Source organism: Homo sapiens, chromosome 1, assembly GCF_000001405.40.
Source record: "Homo sapiens chromosome 1, GRCh38.p14 Primary Assembly".
Taxonomy (NCBI): Eukaryota; Metazoa; Chordata; class Mammalia; order Primates; family Hominidae; genus Homo; species Homo sapiens.
Genome location: NC_000001.11, coordinates 43,299,477 through 43,324,357, shown reverse-complemented (window position 1 = coordinate 43,324,357; position 24,881 = coordinate 43,299,477). Strand labels below are relative to the sequence as shown.

General features: G+C 54.5%; 1 protein-coding gene across 6 annotated transcripts, besides 3 other annotated features; it reads right to left on the bottom strand.

Annotated features, from left to right (window-relative positions):
* TIE1 (tyrosine kinase with immunoglobulin like and EGF like domains 1) lies at positions 1,250 to 23,376 on the bottom strand. 6 transcript variants are annotated; one of them, NM_005424.5, is made up of 23 exons: positions 23,229 to 23,376; positions 19,193 to 19,507; positions 19,015 to 19,125; positions 17,363 to 17,518; positions 17,085 to 17,216; positions 16,786 to 16,926; positions 16,434 to 16,562; positions 15,227 to 15,372; positions 14,826 to 14,970; positions 12,529 to 12,687; positions 12,227 to 12,364; positions 11,757 to 12,053; positions 10,933 to 11,223; positions 10,390 to 10,580; positions 6,949 to 7,159; positions 6,684 to 6,794; positions 6,286 to 6,476; positions 5,010 to 5,123; positions 4,829 to 4,899; positions 3,049 to 3,089; positions 2,866 to 2,962; positions 2,643 to 2,742; positions 1,250 to 1,707 (listed from the first exon to the last, which is right to left on the bottom strand). In NM_005424.5, exons 1-23 carry the CDS (start codon positions 23,284 to 23,286, stop codon positions 1,636 to 1,638), a joined length of 3,417 nt encoding a protein of 1,138 aa, NP_005415.1. In that variant the 5' UTR covers positions 23,287 to 23,376; the 3' UTR covers positions 1,250 to 1,635. The 6 variants fall into 6 exon arrangements, with proteins under 6 accessions (NP_005415.1, NP_001240286.1, XP_005271220.1 ...); NM_001253357.2 differs by having other exon boundaries at positions 19,193 to 19,424; XM_005271163.3 differs by lacking the exon at positions 16,434 to 16,562.
* Positions 2,216 to 3,415: an enhancer, noted in NCBI's record as "CDK7 strongly-dependent group 2 enhancer chr1:43786614-43787813 (GRCh37/hg19 assembly coordinates)". NCBI's record gives its function as "activates an origin of replication core promoter dependent on BRD2, BRD4, P300/CBP, MED14 and CDK7 cofactors, with strong dependence on CDK7, by STARR-seq in HCT116 cells {active_cell/tissue: HCT116}" and the evidence as "EXISTENCE:reporter gene assay evidence [ECO:0000049][PMID:35650434]".
* Positions 23,317 to 23,406: an enhancer, noted in NCBI's record as "active region_915". NCBI's record gives its function as "activates an Ori minimal core promoter by ATAC-STARR-seq in GM12878 lymphoblastoid cells {active_cell/tissue: GM12878}" and the evidence as "EXISTENCE:reporter gene assay evidence [ECO:0000049][PMID:35858748]".
* Positions 23,437 to 23,536: a silencer, noted in NCBI's record as "silent region_777". NCBI's record gives its function as "represses an Ori minimal core promoter by ATAC-STARR-seq in GM12878 lymphoblastoid cells {active_cell/tissue: GM12878}" and the evidence as "EXISTENCE:reporter gene assay evidence [ECO:0000049][PMID:35858748]".

Sequence of the window (24,881 nt, the reverse complement as noted above, 5' to 3'; positions counted from 1 at the left end):
GAAAGATGGGCCTGTGTGGTCTCATTTAACACAAACAACGAGGTAGCTGTTACTAACTCCATTAATTAGATGAGAAAACTGAAGCTCAGAGACTTGACCAAGGCCACACAGATGATAAGTGACATAGCAGGGACTTGAACACAGGTTGGTGTGATCCTAGAACCTGTGCTCTTCATCACAGTGCCACACCATGTTATGCCTTCTTTGATGTCTTCTGATTCACTGAAAAAATGTGTAAAACACAATCAATCTTGTTTCTTAAGGACCAATAGGAGAGAAATCTAAGGCCAGCCATGAGCAATCCAAACAGTAGGCAAGTCCAGAGGCTGCACAGCATGGAGTAGTGTGGGACTCACTTTCAGGACCAGGAGAGAAGCACCTCTCACAGCACTATGAGGCCCTGAAGATGGCAAAGGAATCCTACCTTGGCTGGCTGAAGTTGGGAGTGGCCTCTGCCCTCCTCCTTTTGGGCTCATACATTGGGCAGTGAAGTGGCTACCAAGCCAGGGAAGGCTGCCTGGAGGCATAAGGTAAAGAAGAAGGCACCTAAGGAAACTCTAGACAGGCCAGGATCCGTCTGGCGCTGAGATGCCAGGCAGAGTTGAGGCTGGCTATAGATGATCCTGGCATGGACTATTTGGACAGAACAAAGAATCCTAGGCTGGCTGCTACCTAGAGATACACAGGGAGACACGTTAGTGATGGAAGCTGGAGAGCAGGGAAGGGAACAGGGGAAAACTGGCCTTCTAATCAGGACAGAGGTAGGGGCTGGTGGTGTTTGTGTAAAATGAGTCTTCCAGAGCACCTCCTATCCTGGACAGGCAACCTCAACAGAGGGCTGAGGCCTCAGACAGTGTTTCTTTTCCTAGAAAGCCCAGTTTCTGTCTCTTTTTTTTTGAGACGGAGTCTCGCTCTGTCGCCCAGGCTGGAGTGCAGTGGTGCGATCTTGGCTCACTGCAAGCTCCGCCTCCCAGGTTCAGGCCATTCTCCTGCCTCAGCCTCCCGAGTAGCTGGGACTACAGGTGCCCGCCACCACTTCCAGCTAATTTTTTGCATTTTTAGTAGAGACGGGGTTTCACCATGTTCGCCAGGATGGTCTCAAGCTCCTGACCTCGTGATCCACCCGCCTCGGCCTCCCAAAGTGCTGGGATTACAGGAGTGAGCCACCACGCCCGGCCAGTTTCTGTCTCTTGGGTTTAACTACGCCCCTCACCCCAAGATTGACCAGCAGTAAAAGGTAGACATTGAATGGAGCTTATTAGAACATTTATTTTTTTCTGAATGACAGGCCGGGAGTGGGAGTAGCTGAACAGGGCATGTTAGTGGTGTGAGTGCTGGCTTAAGCGAAGGAGCTGGAGTGGGGGTTTGTGTTGGGGGAGCAGTGGGATGGGAAACACACCTGTGGGGCAGCTGAACTAGAAAGAAGGATGCCCAGGATAGCTATGAGACACCTACAAAGCATGGGAACCCAGTTCCCCTAAGCCCACCCCATCCCCAGATCCCTTTTTTTCTCCCTTAAGTTAAAAAAATTCCTTGAGGCAGCTTAAGTCAGAGGCTGTAAGGGTCAGACTGGTCACAGGTTAGACAGCAGAGTTTGCTCCGGCCAGCAGAGCCACGTTCTGGCTGGATGGCAGCTCAGGCCTCCTCAGCTGTGGCATCAATGCCCGCGTAAGTGAAGTTCTCAAACAGCGACATGTTCACATAGGCCTGGGGGCAGAGCAAGCTTTAGTGGGGGCCAGGAATGGGGGTGCATCTGGCCTCAAGCTCCTGGACTTCCATGTGGTGGGGGCATTTGAACTGACACTGATTTGTTCTGGAGACCTAAGATGGCCCCATGGCCAAGAGTGGCCTTTACCAGCCCAGGGCAGTGAAGGCATCAGGCCACAGTTGGGGCCTCAGGTGAGAGGCTCTCAATGCCATTGTTAGAGGAGGGTTTTTACATGCACTCTTTCAATGAATTCTTGGCTTATGCGTTCATTCATTCAGTAACTTATCTGTTCAAAAGCCATTTTAGACGACTCATCCATTTATATGGTTATTTGATCATTCCTTCATTCTTAAGATGGTTATTTAATCATTAATTTACTTGAAGAACTCTTCATATTTACTAATTTTGATATATTTTTCATTATATTTATTTGATAATTCACTTATTCACATGGTTAGTAGATTGAGTTATTGAATTACATGTTCATATGATTATTGTATCATCTATCCACTAATTCCATTCATTCATTCATACGGTTACTGTATCACTCATTCACCCATCCATCCATCTGGTTAGTGACTATTCATGCACTCTGCTCTGGCTCTGGCAGGTGGGGAGAGGTGTCCCAGATGAGGACAGGCTGATGGCCTCAGCAGAGGACAGGCAAGCAGTCTGGGACTTGGGGCTTAAGGTAGGGATTTGCTGTTGGGGCTAAGCAGTGGCCTTGGAAGAGTTTTGGAAGGGCCTGGTGTCTAAACCAGTGAGGGCTGGAAAGGCAGGCTGCATCCTGGGGCCCAGCCTAGCCGTGGTGACAGCCCCCACTGAGGGAGGTTGGGCAGGCAGTGTGGTTGGGACAGGGGTCATGGCACCTCTGAGAGGGCACTCTGGAGCACTCTGTGAGCCCAGCCCGCCACCTCAGCCCCAGTCTCCTCACCTTCCTGGCTTCCAGCATGCGGCCTAGCTGTAGCGCAATCTGGGCAAAGGGGGGTCGCTCATAGGGACGGTCCCGCCAGCACTGACGCATCAGCTCGTACCTGCGAGGGGGCATTGCTGAGATGAGGAGTCAGGCCAGCTGGGGTGATGGGGTCACAGGGATCAAAGCTGAGGTCACTCATCACAGAGATAGGATCATGGAGCTCAAGGATGGGGTGACTCACACTTCATCGTCACAGTTTCGAGGCTGCTCCATGCGGTAGCCCTGGGGCAGCTTTTCATAGAGCTCGGCACAGGTCATGCCACAGTAGGGTGTACCTCCTGCAGGAGGGGACAAAGTGCTCTCGGTCCAGGGCTCCACGTGGGGTAAGGTGGGGCACTCTGGGGGACGGGGATCAGGAACTCACCAAGGCTCACTATCTCCCAAAGAAGGACTCCAAAGGACCAGCTGAAATAAGAAGGATGCACTTAGTTACCTTCTAGGCCCTGGTCCCTAGCAGTTTAGCTTCTACCTGCCCAAGATGTGCAGTGCCTCCCAGCCCCGCTGTATGTGTCTACTCTGTAAGTATCTGGCCTTGGCCAGCTGTTGTCTCTGCGCCAATGAAGCTCCTTCATACTGCCCCCATCCCTGGGCTCAGCACAATTAGAGCTCTTTTGTTTTGTTTTTTTTTTTTTTTTTTTTTTGAGACAGGGTCTCACTCTGTCACCCAGGCTGGAGTGCAGTGGCTTACTGCAGCCTCAACCTCCCAGGATCAGGTGGTCCTCCCACCTCAGTCTCCCTTGTAGCTGGTGTGTGCCACCATGCTCAGCTAATGTTTTGTATTTTTATTTATTTATTTATTTATTTATTTATTTATTTTTTGAGACAGAGTCTCGCTCTGTCGCCCAGGCTGGAGTGCAGTGGCGAGATCTCGGCTCACTGCAAGCTCTGCCTCCTGGGTTCACGCCATTCTCCTGCCTCAGCCTCCCAAGTAGCTGGGACTACAGGTGCCCGCCACCATGCCCGGCTAATTTCTTTTTGTATTTTTAGTAGAGATGGGGTTTCACTGTGTCAGCCAGGATGGTCTCGATCTCCTGACCTTGTGATCTGCCCGCCTTGGCCTCCCAAAGTGCTGGGATTACAGGCGTGAGCCACCACGCCCGGCCATGTTTTGTATTTTTAGTAGAGACAGGGTCTTGCCATCTTGCCCAGGCTGGTCTCAAACTCCTGGTCTCCAGTGATTTGCCTGCCTGGCCTCCCAAAGTGCTGGGATTACACATGTGGGCCACCACAGCCAGCCGAGCTAACATTTTTATTGAGCACTTACCGTGGTCCAGGCCCTGGTCATTTAACAGACATGTTAATTCATTTAACCCTCACACCAACCCTATGATACAGGTTCTATTAGTCTTGCCATTTTACAGATGAAGACACTGAGGCACTGAGAGGTTAGCTAGATTGCCCAAGGCCATACAGCTAGTTAGTGGCAGAGCAAGCGTTCCAACTCAGGCTCCAAAGCTCTTACTCTTGACTGCATCTCACACTTTAACAGCCTCTGTGTAGTGTGCATCAGCCCTGAGACCAGGGGAGAGAGTTCAAAGGGGGTGGAGGGAATCAAGGGAGTGTTGGGGCAGAAGCACGAAGTAGGCATGTAGTGGTCAGAGGAGTGATCAGTGTGGTAAGCAGTGAGCCATGCAGGCAAGGCCAAAGGGCTTGGGGCAAGGGGTAGGTTCAGATCAAGATGGACATCCCTGGAGAGACAGGAGGAGTGTGCCAAGAGGGCTGTCTGCAGGGGAGGGGGCACAGAGAGGGAGTCTTGGGGGTCATGCTCTGGTAAGATCCTCAGGTGGGCATGACCTTGCCCTTCAGGGAGGAAGATGAGAGCAATTCCTGAGTGGCCTCTCCATCTACCTCAGGAAGCATCCGCCAGCATTCCCAAACCTCTCCAAGGCATCCCCCGTCACTTACACAAACATAATCCGAAACTACCTTTACCCCAGTCCTATTCCTGAAACACCTTCCAAGACTCCTTCCAGCAAGCCCCACCTTGGCTAGGTACTTTATACCCAAGACACACCTGTGTCACACCTGGAACACAGCCCAGGTCATGCCTTAGACCACCTATGACATTTCTGAGATATGTCTAGGTCAGGCCTGGGTGATTCTTGGGGGCCAAGCCCTCCTGTGCCCTCTCATCTCACACTCACACATCACTCTTGGTGGTATAGACACTGTAGTTCAGGGACTCAATGGCCATCCAGCGCACAGGGAGACGCCCCTAGGAGAGAATGGGTTTGAGGGGCTGAGTGTGGAGGAAGGGCCTGTTTGAGGCTCCTGTGGGGCAGGGCCAGGCACAAGCCCTAAGGGTGAGGGTTGAATGAGACTCACCATCGTCTTCTTCACATAAACCTCCTCTCCCCGAGAAAGGCCGAAGTCTGCAATCTTGGAGGCTAGGTTCTCTCCGACCAGCACATTCCGGGCAGCCAGGTCCCTGTGGATGAACTGTAGGCAGGGTCAGAAGTCAGGAGAGACTGGGGATGAGGGAGCCCAGGACAGTCAGGCCAGTAAGGAGTCAGTCTTCGTGGGTACCCTTGTTACCTTCAATACCCCATACTCCTACCCTCCTGGCTGCAATCTCGTCAGCTGACTCATATCTGAGAAAGATCAGTGTTGGCTCTCACCCGCTCGTTCCTGGGCCCTGACCAAGTTCAGGCTGGATCCCTTTTCCTGAGACAGTGGTGGCCATACTGCACCTTCTCCTCTTTCCATGCTTCTCCCCCTCCCTCTTCCCATCCCCTGGGTTCCAGTTTCTCTCCCTTAGCCCTCCAGCTTCCCCAGAGACCTCTCTCCACCAGCCCCTCCCTCTGCACTGGCCCCTTCCCCTGCCCCTCTGCTTTCAAACATACTCAAAACTTTACTATCTTTAAAATGCTGGCCAGGTGCAGTGGCTCATGCCTGTAATCCCAGCACTTTGGGAGGCTGAGGCGGGTGGATCACTCGAGGACAGGAGTTCGAGACCAGCCTGGCCAGCATGGTGAAACCTCGTCTCTACTAAAAATACAAAAATTAGCTGGGTGTGGTGGTACATGCCTGTAATCCCAGCTACTCAGGAGGCTGAGGCAGGAGAATTGCTTGAACCCAGGAGGCAGAGGTTGTAGTGAGCTGAAATCGCACCACTGCACTCCAGCCTGGGCAAAAAAGTGAGACTCAGTCTCAAAAAAAAAAAAAGATAAAATGCCTTCCCTCAGACTCACACTCCCCTGGACAGTCATCCCCCTGTCCTCTCATTCAGGCCTGAGTTGACTTGGGCTTGGATCTCTGCCCTTCCCCCTCTCCGGCAGATCGCACCAGGCCCATTGCCATTAGGCACCATCTGTGGGGTGACAGCTCACACACAGATGCTGTCTCCAGCCTGGGCCTCTCTCCTGAGTTCCAGGCTAGCATCTAGACCTGCTCACTCAACACCCGCACCCTCCATACTGGAAGTCCCCACCTCCTCCAGACCTGCCCCTTGGCCCTGCCTCCTCGCTGTGCTTGCACCCACCCACACACTTGGGCCAGGAACCTCAATCCCCAGATACAATCAGGGCCGGCTGACTTCTTCCACTGACACCAGCCCAGTGGCTTCCCCCTCTGGCCTCCACCCGCCCCCACTCACACACACCTGCTTCTCACTCAGGTACTGCATGCCATTGGCCGCATCACTGGCGAAACGCAGCAGCTGCCGGGAGCTAAGGGTAGAGGCTGTCCCATGCTCTCGAGCAAAAGCTGGGTCAGTCTCTAGGACCCGGCTTTTCCGCAGAAAATCTAGCAGGTTCCCGTAGGGGGCATATTCAATAGCGATATACAAGTAACCTGAGAGGCAAAGAGACAGACAGTGGTGATTTAGACACAGGCAACCTAGGGTGGGAGCAGGCACCCGATGGTAACAGACAGGGATGAAGGAGGATCAAGGGTGGTGCACAGGTCACCAGCAGCCCCTGGCAAGCTACTCATGTGGTGGAGGTGATGGCTGAGGATGGGGGTTTGGAAGAAGGGGTAGGTGATGAGCTGGGGGCTCACCTCGGTTCTTACAGGCCCCCAGGAGGTTGATGATGTTGGGGTGATGCCCCAATTTGCACAGAACTTCCAGTTCTCCCGCAAAGTCACGATGGTCATTTTCAGAGGCATACTCTGTGTAAAGAATCCAATATTATTTTGCCAGAAATAACTCTGGAGAAAGGGCTGGCAAGGGCTGGGGTCAATTGCTGGAGGAAGCCAGGTGGGGCCTGGGATTTGTGGGACAAAGGAGAGCATCAGGGCTGGGCCAGGGGTCGCCCCAGTGGACCTTTCAGCATTTTGATGGCTGCGTTCATCTTCAGCCCGTCCTTCTTGATCATGGCCCGGATGACCTGGCCGAAGTTCCCCTCCCCGATGAGGTCCTCAAAGGTGATGTCCTCCCACTCTAGCACTGGGTAGCTCAGGGGCTCGGGCTGCAGTTTTGGCCGCCGGGTAAGTGTCAAGGTCCCTGAGCTGAACTGCAGGATGGTCTCCTCGCCCTTCACAGGATGAGACAAGAGGGCAGACGGTCCACGCAAGAGTCAAAGGGGGCGGAAGGAGGCACAGACAGGCACACGAGGAGGTTTCAGTGTCAGACAAGTGGGCAGAGACCCAGATGGAGGGCACCCTGGTGGTCAGCCAGGGACAGACAGGCAGACAGAGGACATAACTGAGACAGAATCATAGGTAACAGAGCCACAGGTAGGCTGCTGGGTGGACAGATGTCCAAGGAGAGAAATGCAGAGGCTGCAGCCAGGGGATCTAGTGTACGGGACTCTGGAAGGCAGAACCAGGGCTTGTGGGTAAAGTTGCTAGAAGCCACAATGTGAGTCAATGGAAGGAGGATATTTCTAACATTTAAAACAGAAAAGGATCGGAATGAGCTTCCTATGACTGTGCTAATCCTACAACCAGGCTTTTTGTTGTTGTTGTTGTTGGGGGTCACCAGGGAAGCTCTGGAGAAGATTCCAGCCTTAGGGAGTAGGCCAGGGGACATTTATTGAGCACCTACTACATGCTCAGCCCTGAGCTGCTGGGAGCCAGTGGAGGGGTTTTCTCCACAGTAGCAGAAGCAGAGATTACCCTGTCCACACACTTGGCTTTTCTCCATAGCTCTAAAATCAGGCCAGGACCTGAAAATAGCAAGACTATAACAAAGAGGAATGTCCAATTTCCTAACTCAGTAGGAGGAGGCCATCTGGGTGGGGCTGATGGTGGGAAAAGGAAATAAGTGAACAGGACCAAAGAAACTGCCAATATGAGAACTGGAAGCAGGGTTAAGACAGACCTTCTGGTGGGGCTTCCTAAGTGCACTGAAGTCCAGCTTGATGGGCAAGGGCTGAGGACCTGGGGCCCAGGGATTTGCAAGAAGCACTGGTGCTGACGGCACATAGCAAATGCACGTGATGTTCTTGGGCAGCACCATATGTAGGTGCATCATGTATAGGTCCATACACACATGCAGGCCTGAAGGTGCACAGGCATAGGGACACGTGCATCTGGGACACACGCATTTAAACATGTGGCACTCACAGGGGATGCACGTGTGCACTCATACATGGAGCACACACATTTGTGCACACACGTTTCCTATCCATATGCAGGCACATGTACCAGGGATATATCTTTTTGTTTGTTTTGAGACAAGGTCTCGCTCTGTTGCCCAGGCGGAAGGGCAATGGCACGATCTCAGCTCATTGTTACCTCGAGCTTTTGGGCACAGGCAATCCTCCCACCTCAGCCTCCCGAGTAGTTGGGACCACAGGTGCACACCTCCACGCCCATCTAATTTTCATATTTTCTTTTATTGTAGAGATGGGGTTTTGCCATGTTGCCCAGGCTAGGGGGATATATCTTGATATAGAGTATGACACCATGTATGTTAAGGACTGCTTTCCCACCTCCTGCCCTCGACATCTGTACCCATTACCCTCCCCCACCACAGCAGTGAGGGCTTTCTGTGTGCACTGACCTCAGAGGAAGAGCCAACACAGCTTGGAACAAAGAAGCCAATTGAATCTCTGAATGGATTTTTTTTTTTGAGATGGAGTCTCACTCACTCTGTCATCCAGGCTGGAGTGCAGTGGCGTGATATTGGCTCACTGCAACCTCTGCCATCCGGGTTCAAGCAGTTCTCCTGCCTCAGCCTCCCTAGTAGCTGGGATTACAGGCTCCTGCCACTGTGCCTGGCTAATTTTTGTAGCTTTAGTAGAGATGGGGTTTCACCAACTGGGCAGGCTGGTCTTGAACTCCTGACCTCATGATCCACCCGCCTCAGCCTCCCAAAGTGCTGGGATTACAGGCATGAGCCACCACGCCCGGCCTCTGAATGGATTTTTCAAAGGCATAGCAGAGACACTAGGCTTTCTATCACAAGGATCAGCCCTTGAGAGAGAAGAGGGTTTTCTTTCTTTTTTTATTTTTTATTTGAAATGCCAAAGCTTAGCTCTAAATATCAAGAGTCCAGGCCTGGAAGGCCAAGGACAGAGTTCAGATCCTAAGTGACGACAATGAAGAAGCCCTCAGAGGAGACAGGACCTGCGGATGGGCGGCTAGAATGTGACAGGATAAAGTGACAGTGGGTGCCCTCCCACACCCCACCTCTAAGCAGGGGCCTGAGGGACAGAAGGGTGTGGGCTACAGGAGGACAGACAACTCGGGCAGGATTACAGGGAAGCCAGGAGGAGTGGAGGTTTGTGCTTCCTCTTTCAAGGAGCAGGCCAGCACAATTCTGGAGTGGTAGAAACAGTTGTCTAAGTGGGAAGGGGTTGTGGCAGCGGTCTGAGGGCCACAGAATATGCCTCCTTCCATAAGGTATAAGGAAGCCCCTACAGTTCTTTAGTTCTGTTTCTTTTTCTTTTTTAATTTTTTGAGACAGGGTCTTGCTCTATTGCCCAGGCTGGAGTGCAGTGGCAACATCTCGGCTCACTGCAACCTCCGCCTCCCGGGTTTAAGCAATTCTCCTGCCTCAGCCTCCCGAGTAGCTGGGATTACAGGCATGCACCACCACGCCTGGCTAATTTTTGTATTTTTAGTAGAGACAAGGTTTCACCATGTTGGCCAGGCTGGTCTCAAACTCCTGACCTCAGGCGATCCACCCGCCTCAGCCTCCCAAAATGCTAGGATTACAGGTGCAAGTCACTGTGCCCAGCCCCTTTCTTAAGTCTCCAAAAGGAGGCCCTGGGATTTGCAAGAATGAAGGTTAGGATGAGGAGCTCACAGCATGACTGGCCTACTGGCAGGTGGCCACAGCAGGGCTAAGAACATCAGCCAAAGATGTGTGCAGACAGAGGCTGGCTCCCGAGCCCAGGAAGGCCTGCAAGGACAAAAGCCAGCATGAACCCCAAGTGCCCTTCCATTTGATCACCTTGCTATCTAGGCCTAGATAACCGCTAGGGAGAAATAAAAGAGGGGAGAGGAAAATCTCCAATTGACGGAGCCCAAAACTGGAATGTCCATTGTGAAATATGGTCATCACGGAATTCTTTTGAAATGGGAATATTAAATATTTCACCACTAATATAAATGGGCTCATGAGCTGAATTCAGTTTTAGAGAAATAAAGAAAATTATATTTTGTACCCTTGAACATTGTTGAGTGTAATCTTATACCTGCAACATAAACACACACACACACACACACACAAGGTGTACAAGGTATTGTGTGTACACAGGTAGAAACATAAACACGGGCTGCAAGCATGCACCCAGGGGCGGGGCGGGTCACTGACCGAGCCTGACTGGTAGGTGAAGGTGCGTCTCCGATGCAGGCAGCTTCTGCGGATGCACACCAGGGTTAAAAGGGCAGCCAGGATGGTGAGGCAGGTGGCAGACACGGAGCCCACCACCGCCAGGATCAGCTGCTGATCCAGGCCCTCTTCAGCTGCCCGGCTCTCTTGGACTGGGCCCTCAGCCTGCAGCCCTGGACACAGTGAGAGGGGCAGATTGTGGGGACACCTGGGTCAGGGAACCCAGAGGCCACCATGGGGTTACACAGAGGGAGAGGTGAAAGATCCCAGTGCCAGGACTGTCAGGAAATCACTTGGGCCACATGAAGGAAGGGATGAGGGGTGTCAGAGGGGCGACATGATTTTCCCAGCCCTGGGACAGTGGATCATGAGAATGGAAGGCTGAGTCCCCAGGACTGGGGCTGACTCTTTGTCAGGAGGGGCCTGGGATGCCCTAGCTCCACAGTAGGGGGTGATGTGGAAGGAGAGCGTGCTGAGCTCTCCCCGCTCAGAGCCCGGGGGGTCCTGTGGGCCCTGCCCTCTCACCGTTGCCCAGGGTGGACTCTTCTACTGTGTTGCTCCAGTCCCCGAGCCCCTGAATGCTGGCCCGCATGCGGAAGAGGTAGCGCGTGCTGGCGTTGAGGCCACGGATGATGGTGCTTGTCTCCTCAGGCCTGTCCACGTCTATCCACAGTGGGTCTCCTGCACCCCCAGCCACCTGCACCTCCACAACGTACTTGGATATTGGCCCAGGCAGAGCCTCCGGGTGCTTCCATGTCAGCTGGATCTCGGAGTCTGAGAGGGCCTGGGCGTGGAGGTGTCGGGGGGCTGGAGGCCCTGGGGAGATGGTGGGGGAAGGCAAGGCTCAGATAGGACCGGGCTATGTAGCTGTGGGGCTGGACACATCTGCTCTAGCTGTGCTCCCTCCTCTGTGGGTCCAAGCACAGGGGCCACCCTGCCAACTTCCTCCTCCCCACCAGACTGAATTCCTCTCCATTCCCCCAGGCCACTTTCACCCTCAAGCTTCTGCTTCTCCTTGTACTTCTTGTATCCCAAGTCCTCTCCACATCCGCCCATGCCCTGTGTTCCGCAAGTCTCATGCCCTCCCATGACCCTGGTTCTCGCCATGAACCCTGACCTCCCCATGCTCTCCCCACATGCTCCTGGTGATCTGTGTCCTCCTGGTACCCTGGATCTTCCCCAAGTCCCATGTCCCCGCTGGGGTCACGTCTGCCTAATACCCTATGTGTGTCCTGTGTCCTCTCCATGTCCATTAATCTCCTACAGCCTCCCGTGTCTCCTAGGTCTCATGTGTCCCTGTGTCCCACGTCCTCCCCCAACCCCCAGCTATCCTTGCGCCTTGCACATACCACTGGGGGGCAGAAGCACGTGTGCAGGGGGCGAGGCCGGGCCCAGGAGGGTGCAGTGGTAGAGCTGCACATCCAGCTGGTAGTGGGTGCCAGGCGTGAGTCCCGTCAGGAGGGCAGTGCGGGCCTGGGGGGATGAGACGTTCTCCCGCCGCTCCTGCCCCCGTGTCCCGTCCCACAGGCGCAGCAGGAAACCGTCGCCCACCAGTGGCCCGGGCACCAAGGGCAAGGACCAGCTCACTCGCAGCCGGTCAGTGCCTTCCACATGCCAGCCCTCCAACCACGGCTGCAACAAAGGCTCTGGGGCCAGAGGTCAGGGGTCAGAACTGTCCAGTAGGTACTTGGGGCTGGACAGGACAATGATCCCCAGTGAACAAGGAAGAACAACCTCCAGTGGGAAAGGCAGGGGTCCCTGGGGTCGACGGGAAAGTAACCCTTGGGGGGACAGGAAGGGATGACTCTTGGCCTCTCACCAGGACAGTCTGTGGTCATGAGGGTGGGAGGCCCCCAGGCCCCCTCTCCTCCTTCCCCTGGCCGGCTCAGCTGCACACGAACACTGTATCCTGTCTTTGGCCTCAGGTTCATTAACGTCACGTTCTCACTGGGGTCCACTGGGCGTGGGGTGTAAAGCACACATTATTCAGCCCCCACCTCTTCTAGAAGCTGCCATGCTCCCTTCAGCCCCCTCGCACCATTTGCCCTCCCTCTCCTGCTCACTGTATCCCTTCACTATTACCCAACACCTCTGTCCTGCCCCAGCTCTCTCCCTACTCACCCACAATGGTCGACCAGTCCATGGTACTGTCCTGGGGCCGGTAGTGCAGGCGGACAGTGGAGATGGGTCCATCCCCAGAGAACGAGACCAGCGGGGAGACCACAAGCTGGCGGCTCTGCTTGGTCAGGAGCCGAGGTGCAGCCAGGGGCACGGGGGGCACTGCCAGGAGACTCAGGGTAAGGCATGGGCACACAGCCTATCCAGTCCACTTCTGCATCTTTGTTTCAAGCTGGGGACCCTCTGGGCTTGAGGGACACCAAGTTCAACAGATGACCATAGTGGCCAGGGCCCAGGGAGGACAGAGTTCAGGCCCCTGGGTAGCTTGGGGCACAAGGATTAAGCAATAAAGGCATGAGGGTGTCCCAAAAGATGGTAGATGAGGAAGTGACATGGCCAGACATGGTTTGGGGGTGCACTCTTCCCATGCAGTGTGGGGGTAGACAGAAGGGGCCGAAACCCAGGTCAGGGAGACTACCTGGGCATCATCCTGCTCTCTGCCCCTGCCCTCATTCACCACTCTCTTATTAAAAAAAAAAAATGGCACTGGCACTGAAGCACCTGCTCCCCGCCACACGCTTCATAGCATGACCTCTAATTCTCACAGCCACCTTTCTGTCAGGGCACATTACCCTGCATTATGAAAACACTGAGACTCAGAGACACCGAATAACTTGCCTAAGGACACACAACTAGAAGGAGATACAGCCATGTGTTGAACTAGGTCTGTCTGCGCAGGCCGCCTCAGATCTATCCATTCTACTCCAAAACAGCCTTCTTGTTCCTGCCCCACTTCCTCACCCCATGATCGCTGCTCCTATTCTGGCCTCAACTTTTTCTCTCCAGATTATTGCATTAGTGCTTTTAACAGGTTCCCTTGACTCTTACAAATGTTTACCAGATTGGCTTTTTGAGAGGAAAGGAAGGAAGGAAAGAGGGAGGGAGCGAGGGAGGAAAAGGATGCCGCGCTGTAAGCTGAGGGAGTGTCAGGCAGCAATGAGCATGTCAGGAGGGCAGTGCTGATTTGCGGGGAGATGAAGGTCCATTTTGGGTGCAGAGAAGCCCTTGGTGCCTTTGGCTCACGCAGGGGATTAGATGTCCAGGAAGTGGCTGGATATAAAATGGGCCTCCGAATCATACAGCAGCTACTTTCCACACCAACTTCAAAACCAGACTTCCAGAGTAGATGCCCCACTTCATGGAGTCCCCACCAAATGATCTGGAGTCAGAAGAGGGGTCCTGGCTGCAGATCATATGTGAGAGCTGCCAGAGAACTATCAAAATCTAGGGACTAGGTGACATTTTAAATAATAACAATAATTATCGACATACATTGAGCACACACCCTGTATCGGGCACTGTGCTAAATGCTTAAATACATCATCAAATTTAATCTTTGTAACAACCCCATCAAGTGCTAGCTATCCCCATTTCACAAAGAGAGAAACAAAGTAAGAGAGGTTAAGTAGTTTCCTTAAGGTGATGGGGCAAGGAATTTGTGGAGAGAGGATTCAAGCCCAGGTTGTCTGGCTCCTAAGCCTGGGCACAGTGAGAAGAGAAAGGCGGAAGGTGAGGCTTGATGGCAGAGAGTCATGCATAGTCACGGGATAGGGAGATGGCGAGGACCTGGGAGGCAGAGTGTGGCAACGAGAAAGCAGAAGGTGAGAGAGGGGGCTTACATGGGGTGGCAGGAGCAGAGGGACAGCAGGGTCAGGGGGTGGCAGGGGTGTGAATGGTTAAGACTTAGGGTGCTGGAGAAGCTGGAGAAGGCGAAGGAGGCCTTAGAGCAGGTGGGGGTGCTCTGGTCTGAGTAATCTTGGGCACTGGGAGGTCCCTCCTTATTTACCTGGAAGATTTCTAGGCATGCACCACTTCTAGGAAGCCAAGCTGGTCACCCTCTGAGCTCCATAGCCCCATATGCTCCCCTGGGCTAGCACTGAGTGTCTGTGGGGTGACTCAGAGATGGGAGGCAGCATCCCAGAGCAGAGTTAAAGGTATACTTGTCTGTGTGTGACGGTTGGTGGGGGACAGCATGGCTGGGCAGGAGGAAGGGCGGGGCTGGAGAGTGTCCCCAGTTTCTGGGGCACGGGATGTCCTTTCCAGATGGGTCTAAGCTGTACTCCAGCCTTGACACTGCCCAGCCCGGACCTCTGGTTGACCACAACCCCGCTTTTTGTCTGGTGCTAGGCTATGACCTTAGATGTCCTTGTCCTTCCTGCTAGTATCTCCAGCCTGAGCAGCATCATCTAGAGCCTACTCTGCTCACCGTCCATTCCCTGTGGACCTAGGACATCACTGACCTTTCACATTGACCTTGAAGCGCCGGCTGTCTTGGCCGCCAGATGTGGACACACGGCACTCCCAGAACCCACTGTCCGCAAGAACCAAGCGGGGCACCTCGAACTCAGCTGTGGTCTTCTCTGGCTCCACAATGGCCTTGGTGGACTAAAAGAGATGGGGGAAGGGGACAGGTCACAGGGAACGGGCACCTCTGTGGCAGGCACCCAGGTGTCCGTCTGGACTGATGGCAGGACAGAGGCCCAGTGGCAGCCCCCTCACCAATCAGCCTGACCTCATGTGAGCAATGGTCAGGCCAATGGGTGGGCCCTGCAGAAAGTTCTGAGGGACTAGGGGGTCTTAGGGATCAGCTGTGAAGCAGGCGGCCTGAGGGGCTGGTGGGTTGGGGTGATTGGGGGCTGACCAGGAGCACAGTGCCGTCTGGCTTGCGTAGCTCTATGCTGCCCCGCACGGGGAAGGGGTTCCCTGCAGCTGCACAGTTGATCCGGGGCATCGTCTCTAAGTTGAACTCCAGTTCTGAGGCCATGTTGAGGATCTGGGGGATCCGGTCTGGGGAGAAAGGACACTCATCCTGGAGCTCCCACAGGGGCAGACACGTGACCACCAAAGCGCCCCTCATCCGTGTTCTGTTTCTCAGTGGAGGTATCTACCCAGTCCCTCCAGCCTGAAAACCAGCAAAGGCCCGCATGACTCCTCCAGCGTCCCAGCCCCACATCCCATCAGCTGCAAAGTCTACTTCCTAACCACCTCCCCACTTCCCGATACCGTCTAATACCTGCCAGCAGACCCCTCACCATCCTCCCAGCCAGCACACTAGCTCAGGCCTCATCATTTCTGGTCCCTAGGTACAGAGTCCTCGAGGGTCTCCTGCTCCCGCTCCCCGGCCAGCAGCTAGGGGTCCTTTCTCCAACACGGATCTGACTACCTTGTTCCTTTTTAACAATTCCCTCTTGCCCCATCATATGAAGTGCAAACTCTTTGGCCTTCATTCAAAGGCCCCACGATTTGACCTCTTCTGACCATTTCCCCAGTCCCCCACTCCACTGTCCTGGTACCCAAACCTGAGTCCCCAATCCCTGGGTCCCCTACCCCACTGTCCTGGCACCCAAACCTGAGTCCCCAATCCCTGGGTCCCCTACTCCACTGTCCTGGCACCCAAACCTGAGTCCCCAATCCCTGGGTCCCCTACTCCACTGTCCTGGCACCCAAACCTGAGTCCCCAATCCCTGGGTCTTTGCTCTTGTTCTTTCCTCAGTTATCTCTCTTTTGTCCTTCATATCTAATCTCAGATCACACCTGCTTCCAGACCCTTCTCTGACCTGCTCAGTCTGCCCAGGGGCATCCTCTGGGCTCCCACATTCTCTGGGCTGCTGCCCTTTCCACTATGGCTGGCTGGCAGTGAGCTCCTTGCTGGACTGGCTCCCTGCTGGACTGACTCCCTACCAGACTGACTCCCTGCCAGAGCTCCCTGTCCATCAGACTCTAAGCTCCCTGAGGGCAGGACTTGGACCCTCGTAGGGAAAGGAGGGACTACTCTCTTCCACCGGGGAGATGTGTTTGGTAAAGGCCGACTTATCTTGGGGGGCTCTCAGAGGTCATAGTGCTTATACCTGACTTCTCACAGTGCACTCCATGCCACCCAGAGGGGCAGACACAACCACTGAACCGGTCACAAGTGCCACCATTCTGACACTGGCACTGGAGTCGGCAATCAGCCCCAAAATGACCAGGGGCACAAGCTGGGAATAGAGGAGGTATGATTAGAGGGGCATGGGACAGGGGGCAATGAGGGCACAGATGAGGGCGCAGATGGGGCACAGGTTATACAACAGGCTGAGGATAGAAGGACTGGTCAAGTGAGCAGGAGGGCTTGCTGCGTAAGTCAGAGGCAGAGTGGAGGGTCCGGGTCAAGCTCCTGGCCAGCTGTCTTGGTCAGGGACCATGAGGGTAGGTTAGGCATACCTTCTTGGCACTGGCTTCCTCTCCAGCCAGATCCACAAGAGCAGCCATAGGGGTCTGGGAGGCAGAAGGTGAGGCCCCGGCAGCCTGATATGCCTGGGCACTGCTCCTGGCAGCTCTGCCCAAAACGGCCCTCTCTGCAGGCTAGAAAGAGAGTGTGTGGGGTGTATGGGCCTCTGTGGGCCCCTGGGCCCAGGACCTGCCTGTCGCCCTTACCCTCCAAGCTCCACCCACATGGTTCTAGGGTCTTCTCCCAGTCAGGGATCCTCTCCTGCCTGGGTCCTAGCTCCCCTCCTCCTTACCCTGTTCACAGCGGGTGCCAGTGAAGCCAGGGGGGCATACACATTCGCCGTCATGGTCGTGGCAGACACCTCCATGTAGGCAACCTGGGCACTCCTTGGTACAGCCTGGCCCCCAGCGCCCAGCCCCACAACCTGGAGGAAGGTGTCTTCAGCAGCTGACCCTCACCCACCTGACCACTGAGGACTGGAGATCCAGGGGCTCCAGGGGACCCACAGGAAGTACCCATAGGGCTCCCAGCCTCCCACCCTACCCACAACCTCTGCCCTCTGCCTCTGACCCCGCACGATGAGCCGAAAGAAGGCGCTGCCCAGGGGGCTGGCTTCCAGGTAAGTGGCACTGTAGATGCCGCTCGATGGTGGCTGCACATTTGGGAGCTGCAGCAGGAACCGCCCATCCTGGGCTTCATGCCAGTCCAGGGTGTAGAAGTAGGATCCTGGGGGACATGAATGTGTCAGGGGCCTCAGCACTACATGAGGGCTGTGTCACCTCTCTCTGTCCACCTCTGCTCAGCTCACATCAATGAGCCCCATGCACAGTGATGAGACCTAGGGCCGGCACCACGAGAGCCTATGCCCACGCCAGAAAGCTCAGAAGTGCCCTCTTCTTCATGCTCCACCAGCCACCCAGTAAATCACCAAGTCCTGCTCAGTCCATCTCCTCCTCATCCCCTAACCCAGTCCGCTTCTCCCCACACCCACTGCCACTGCCCTGGTCCTAGCCTCCAGGGGCCTCACAAGGCTCCTCTGCCTCCAGTGTCACCCTTTCTTGTCCCTCCTCCACCCAGCAGCCAGGGTGATTTTTTACAACAGACTCCTCTCTAACTCCTCTGCTGAAACTCTCCTGGTTCTCCAGTGACCTCAGGACAAAAATCCAGCTCCTTAGACATCATTTTCACCAACTTGGCCGTGGCCAAGCCATCCAGCCCCATTCGTCTTCACACCCTTCTTGACTCCTAACATTCCTGAATTCCTGAATGGATTGTTTCTCTTCTAGAAACACCCTTGTGTTTCAGACCCTACTGCTCTTCTCAGTCCCTCCTCCTGGAAGGCCCTTCCTTCCTTTTCTGCCTTCTTTGTCTTCCCACTTCTCCTCTGAGCACAATTCAAGTGCCATCTACTCTAGGGTCTCTCCCCTGAGCCTCTCCCTCTTAGAAGAGTGCTCCAGTCGCTGCCCCACCCGCTTCTTGCCTCTTTGCTCAGGGCTGAACAGAGAGCCTAGAGACCCAGGTCTGCCTGTGCCTCTTCACATTTCCTGTCAATTCACGGGGTCCAGAGCTCAGGAGGCAGCCCCCTTGGCCAAAGGGAAGGGTCTTCCTCCCTCAGGAGCCCAGGTATGCAAGAGTCAGCCAAGGGGTTGTGAATCTGAGGACTGAGGCAGGAATCTTGGGGCCACATAGGAAAACAGCTTCCTTCTATGGGGTGGCCAAAGGGTCAGGGTGGAGGACAGGCCTGGGACTGAGATCCCACGGGTCTACCCAGGCCTCAGCATGAGGCTGTCTTGGGCATCAAGGATCTGGGCTGGACAGATCTTTGGGAGAGGCTAGACTCTGCCCTGCCTGTGTTGGGCATGATGTTACCAGTTCTCTTCCTCCTCAGGGGGACTGATGCGGTCTGCCAGGTGGGCTATGTGACAGCACCTGCTAACTCCCAGGGGAGAGATGAGGGTTTAACATCGTGCTCATTTGGGGCTAAGAGGGAAGGGGCAGCTGACCACAGGCTCCTGGCCCTCTGTGTACAGAAGGAAGGCAGCTCAGAACTACAGATAAGATGGGTGCAGGCACATCCCATGGGACCTGGTCCACTACAGAGGAGAGGCCCTGGAGGTCGGGTGTGTCAGGGGCCAAAGCTGAGGGTCCCATGGGTCATGAAAGTGTTGGGGCCTCAGAACGATGGGTCTACCCTCCCCACCAGTTCAAATGCCCCTCTTTACCGTTGCTCTTCCAGATCACGTCTGTCTGCTTCTCCTTGTGCACACGTGCAGAAAGTACAGCGGTGTCACCTTTGTTCACAGTGTGTGTGACCTTGTCTGGAAGCAGGTGGGCTGCGGGGTGGAAGGTGGGTCAGCGGCCTGGTTTTCCCCGCGCCATCCCCCCGCCTGCCTAACTCACCTCCAGGGCTGTTGTGCACGTAGATGACGCGCGTGCGCCGCGCCCCAGCACCGCCCACGCAGGAGAAGACGCCCACGAGGTCCGAGGGCTTGGAGAAGCCGCGAAGCGTGACCTGGTGCGAACCGTTGCGCGCCAGGCGCAGGGGTGGCCCGGGCGGGGTGCGCACGATACGGTCGTCCTTCTCCAGCAGCAGGGGCGGGCCCCAGGCGTCCGAGCCCCTCCCCGCCCCGGCCTCCCCAGACACGCAAGTCAGGAAGAAGCGCTGGGGGTCCGTGAGCCGCAGGTTGGCCAGCAGCGTCAGGTCCACCGCCGCGCCTGGGGCCAGGACACCAGTGACTCTATTGTAGTCCCAGCCAACCCTAGTGCCCCAGAGCCCCCAGCCCCAGCCCTCTGGTCTTACTGATCCACCGTCCACTCAGAAGAGGGTCTCCAACCTTCACCCCTCTTCCTTCCCCTGCCCGGTTCTTCAGACCCCACAGGCCTCACTTTATCAGGCATTCCCATCCCCCTCCTTTCCCCTTCCATGCGCACTGGCCTCTTTCCCTCAAGTCTCTTCATTCTAAAAGAACAAAAACAAAACCACGAATCCTTCTCTGGCCGTGTCCCCTCCCTTCTCCTGCCAGATGGCTTCCCTTTCGCCCCAGCTTTCGGAAAGAATGATCTATGCTCCCTGTCTCCGTTTCCTCACTTTATTTCTATCAGTCCTGTTTCCCCACTCGTCTCTAAAACTGCCCTGCAAAGGTTGCTGTGAGCCACTTCTCCCTGCCTCCACCACGAGAGTGCAGGCCAGGAGAGCCAGCCAGAACAGAAGTGTCCCATGGGTCCCCCTCTCTGTCACTATGGAGATCTAGAAATGTCTGGTGGGCTGGGATTTGAGGTGGGAGAGGCTGAGTTTTGCAGCCAGAAGGTTGTGGCACAGAAATGGAGCTAGGGCTGGGTGCGGTGGCTCACGCCTGGAATCCCAGCACTTAAGGAGGCAGAGGTGGGAGGATCCTTTGAGCACAGGAGTTTGAGATCAGCCAGGGCAACATAGCAAGACCCCATTCTCCAGAAAAAGAAAAACAAAAAGAAATGGAGCTAAGCTTGGGGCTGGGCCCAGAGCCAGGGAGGGCAGCCCCAGGGCAAGGCCTGGAGCCCAGACAGACACAGACACGAGGTAGGTCTTGGTCTTTGTTTGCCTTCCAAAGAGCTCACGCCCTAGTTGGAGGAACAGGCATGAACACAGCTGCCAAATGTAGGGCGCTGTGCTTTTGAGCACAGAGAAGGGACCCCTGCTCCAGCCTGGGGGAGCTCAGGGAGATGAAGAGATGCTTCCTGGGAGGTACAGTTGGAGCAGGGCACATTGGCGTGAGGACAATGGGGAGGGAGAGAAATCAGGGGCAGGGAGAGGGCATCCTAGACAGAGGGAACAGCCTGGACAGAGGCCTGCAGTGGCAATATTGTGGCAGGTGGAGGGGGCTCTCCAGGTTTGTGTGACTGGAGTACAAAATGTGAGGCTGAGGCAGGAGAGATCAGGTGGAGTCAGAGTCCAGTCTGGACGGTGGAGAGCCTGCGAGCCTGCCTTAGCTCCAGGACCCAGAACCCCTCCACCAGCCAAGCCCTTCCTTCTCTGTCTCTTGTAGCTGACTGTCAAGCAGTTCATTAGTTTAAATGCCACCTAGCTTATCAGTGTTTGAAAGGCTACCATGAGCAAACGAAGCTGGCATTTACTGACCGCCCACCACATACCAACCCCCATTTTCCACTGGATCCTCACAACCAGTGAAGTGGATATTCTTTCCAGTTACAGAGGAGGATCATGGTAATTATTCTACTGGCTTCTTTGAGCAAGCTCGCCCACTCCCCCAGTTTTAACCATCACCTCTGAGTCAGTAACTCGGGAACGGTCTTTCAGCTTGGACCTGCATTTCCATCAGCTTTTCCCAAATCTGCTCCTCTCCAGTGCTCCCTGACTCACTGGACAGCACCCGCCACTTGAGACACAAACTATGGAGTCATCTCTACTCCCATTGTCATAATAATGAATGTTTATTGGCTGCCAGTTATGCACCAGGCACTTTACTGATATTGTTTCATTTTACCATCCCAGCTATCCTGGGAGGTGGATGTTATTATCCCTGTTTTATAGCCAGGAAAGGGAGGCTCAGAGAAGTTAAGTAACTTGCCCAAGGTCATACAATTAGTGAGTGGCAGGGCCAGGTTGTCTGATTCTAAAGTCCACATCTCTGAGCACTGTGCTGCCTGCCTCATCAGTCATAGAATTCTGCACATTGTTTCCTGAACGCTTCTTGACTTCATCCCCACCCCCCCAGCCTGCCTTTGTTCAGCCCTCATCCTTACTCACCTAGACCATCCCAACAGCCACAGCCCCTCCTTCTGCAACTCATCCTCCACGGTGATCTAAGACCAAACCTGACCTTGTGACTTTCTTGCCTGTGACCTCCCATGGCTCCCTATTGCCCTCAGGATAATGTTCGTGCTCCTAAGCCCCGTGATGCTCCCACGCTATCCCTCCTGTTGTGTTCCTAACAGGCACCTTCTCTCCCATGCACCTCCATGCCTCTGAGACTTGCATTTTTTATGTTCTGGCTGCCTGGAATGAAGACCACCCCTCTTAGTGAAATCTTCCTTGATTCCCTTTTTGTCTCCTACCTGAGGCAGTGTAAGCTGAACTCCTCCTCAGTGCTCCTCTAGAGCTCCTGTGTCTGTCCCTGTTTAGCCCTCTTCCCCTGTCCTGTGTTCTGCACTAGACCATGAACCACTCAAAGGCAGCCTCTGTGTTCTAATCGGCTGACCAGCAGACTGAAGGAATCAGCTGCCACCTACTCAGAAATCCTTACCAAGCACAGTGCACTGTGCCAACTGCTCTGCATCATTTTCTCATTTAAACCCCATAACAACCATAGGAGGCTGGCATCATTTAATCTCATTGTACAGACTAGGTGTTGCCAGCCTCTCAACTAATGGCCCAGCACTTAGCACAACTCCTGGAATATTGTTGGTGCTCAATAAATGTTTGTCCAGTGAACAACTGAGTGAATCCAACACAATTACCCTATGAACACCCCCTGAAAATGGCCCTCCACAGATCCTCAGATCCAACACAGTCAGCGGCTACTCCTCACTCCTCCCCTGATCCCAGGTTGCAGTGATTTCTAGCACTTGCCTGTGTTTTCCTGGCCTTGATCTCACTTTCTAGTGGATCAAAGTGATGGCAGTGATGATAGGGCTTGTTTTCCAAAATTTTTTGTTGTGGTGAAATGCATATAAAATAAATTTTACCATCTTTTTTTCTTTTTAGATGAGTCTTGCTCTGTCGCCCAGGCTGGAGTGCAGTGGCGCGATCTCAGCTCACTGCAACCTCTGCCTCCCAGATTCAAGCGATTCTCTTGCCTCAGCCTCCCAAGTAGCTGGGATTACAGGCTCCTGCCACCACGCCCGGCTAATTTTTGTATTTTTAGTAGAGATGGGGTTTCACCATGTTTGCCAGGCTGGTCTCGATCTCCTGACCCTGTGATCCACCCGCTCGGCCTCCCAAAGTGCCGGGATTACAGGCGTGAGCCACCACACCCGGCAAATTTTGCCATCTTAACCATTTGTAAGCAGCATATAACCCAATGTGATTAAATACATTCCTAGTGTTGTCCCACCATCACCACCATCCATCCTTTTTTTTTTTTTTTGAAAAAGACGAAAGTCTAAACACAATGGAGACGGGGTCTCACTATGTTGACCAGTCTGGTCTTGAACTCCTGGCCTCAATTGATCCTCCCATCTCAGCCATCCAAAGTGCTGGGATTACAGGTATGAACCACCGCACCCGGCCCCATGTTTATAACTCTTTTAATCTTGTAAAACCAAGTAAAAATCTTGTAAAAACGCTGTACCTTTTAAACAAAACTCCCCATTTCTTCCTCCCTGCAGCCCATGGCAACCATCATCCTACTTTCTGTCTCTATGATAAAATAGGGTTTCTTGGGTAGAAATCAGGGCCTCGGGGCCTAGAAATGGGGTGAGGGACTCAGGGGAGACTTACCCACATGAGAAGCCAAGAAGAGGATGGGGAGCAAGAAAGGGGGCACCCGCCAGACCATACTCCAGAGGCCGACCCAGGCCAGCCAGGACGAGCTGGGCCTGGGGTCAGATGCTGTGGGCCTGACTGCTCAGCCTGTGTTGGTCAGTGTGGGTCGGTGCTGGGGAGGAAGAGGAAATGAGGTGGCTTGGGTGGGAGGGGTGGCAGGGTAGGGGGTGGGAGGACTCATTCTGCCTTTGAGCCTCTAGGCCCCCCAATCTGGCCCCCACAAGGCTGGGGATGGGTGTGGCCTGGGAGGAGTCACTTGAGGTGGGGGGAAGGTTATGGTAAGGGCAGACCTGGGGACAGCTGGACTGATTTTTCCCATCCCCTGTCTCTCTCCAGTACTCAGTCTTGCTGGCACAAAGGAGGCAGGAGGCAGGAAAGGGAGGAAGCCAGTGGCTTCCGCCTATTGAGGAGGGGGGTGGGGTGGGGGACATTGTTCTGGGGTCTCCCCTCCCCCCGGCACAAACACACAATACGGCCCACATGAGTCCTCATGTATGTGCCCCAGGACACAGACAGTTACATGGGTTTCCTAGAGAGCAGTTCACATACGAAACACAAAGGACCTCTGTGGGCCTGAGAAGCACATACACTCAAAGGAACACAGGGCCCTGGCAACAAAGAGCCTTCGAGTCTACCTTGTGTACCTCTCTCATTGTACAGATGGGAAAACTGAGGCTTGCTGTGCTCGAGGGCACCCTGAGGCTGTGGCAAGGCTGGGACTTGAACTTCTGACTTAGTCCTTGCTTTCTTGGTGCCAATCGCTCCACAAGGGCTCACATTAAGCAGTCCCGGGGAGCACACAGGGAGTATCGGTTGCATAGATAGTCCTCAGCTTAAGCTGCTAATGAAAGCTTCAGCTTATTGTCTGCCAGGTGTCATTCATTTTGCGGCAAACCCCTGCCTATTCCTGGGCACTGGGGCAGCAGAAGTCTGCCCAGGGAGGTGCACTCACTCTTGACGGCTGACAACAACCTGGGAGCAGTCGCACTGCTTTGGCAAAGTCTCTAAAGCCCCATGGATCTTGCCTCTGCTTCCCTCCCAGACTCACCTCTCCCTGCCCTGGCACCCGTTGCTCCACCTCTTGCCACCACTGGCAGTTCCCAGAACGGAACAAGACCTGTAGGTACAGAACGCCCACGAGGAGGCCCTTCCAGGGAGCAGAGGGAGCAACCGTTGGATGGGCAGCCTTGCTGGTTAAATCGATGACCCCTCTGACCCGGAATGGAATGGTTGGGATGGATGAGACTTGGTGTCAGTTTAGGTGACTTAGGTCTGGTAGTACAAACCCTCCCCCTGGGCCTGGGACATCTTCCCAGAGTGTGTTCTGGGTGAAGGCTTCATTCTCCTCTGAATGCACCGGGCTCACATTCACTTTTCTCAGGAGGCTGGGTCCCTGCAGCTTGGTTGAGCTGGTTTAGGCCCAGGGCTCTTCTGAAGCGCCCTGAAAAGTCCCAGGAGACGCTTTGACTCCTGGAGTAGCATAGAAAAGGATCGGGAAAGACCTCCCTACTGATGTGTGACCCACAGAGATTCCCATTCCTGGGCCTGAGGCTGGGAGGAGCTTTCTCTAGACAAGGCTTTGGGTGGGATGGGAGTAGGAGCAGGGGG

What these genes read in the sequence shown, in the direction of transcription:
- TIE1 (NM_005424.5), bottom strand. Translation starts at nt 23,286, where the DNA reads ATGGTCTGGCGGGTGCCCCCTTTCTTGCTCCCCATCCTCTTCTTGGCT. An exon ending in CGTGCTTCTGCCCCCCAGTG is followed by an intron (nt 11,224 to 11,756) that starts GTATGTGCAAGG and finishes CCATCTCCCCAG; the next exon opens with GGCCTCCAGCCCCCCGACAC. An exon ending in TTGGGAGATAGTGAGCCTTG is followed by an intron (nt 2,963 to 3,048) that starts GTGAGTTCCTGA and finishes CCCCTCCTGCAG; the next exon opens with GAGGTACACCCTACTGTGGC.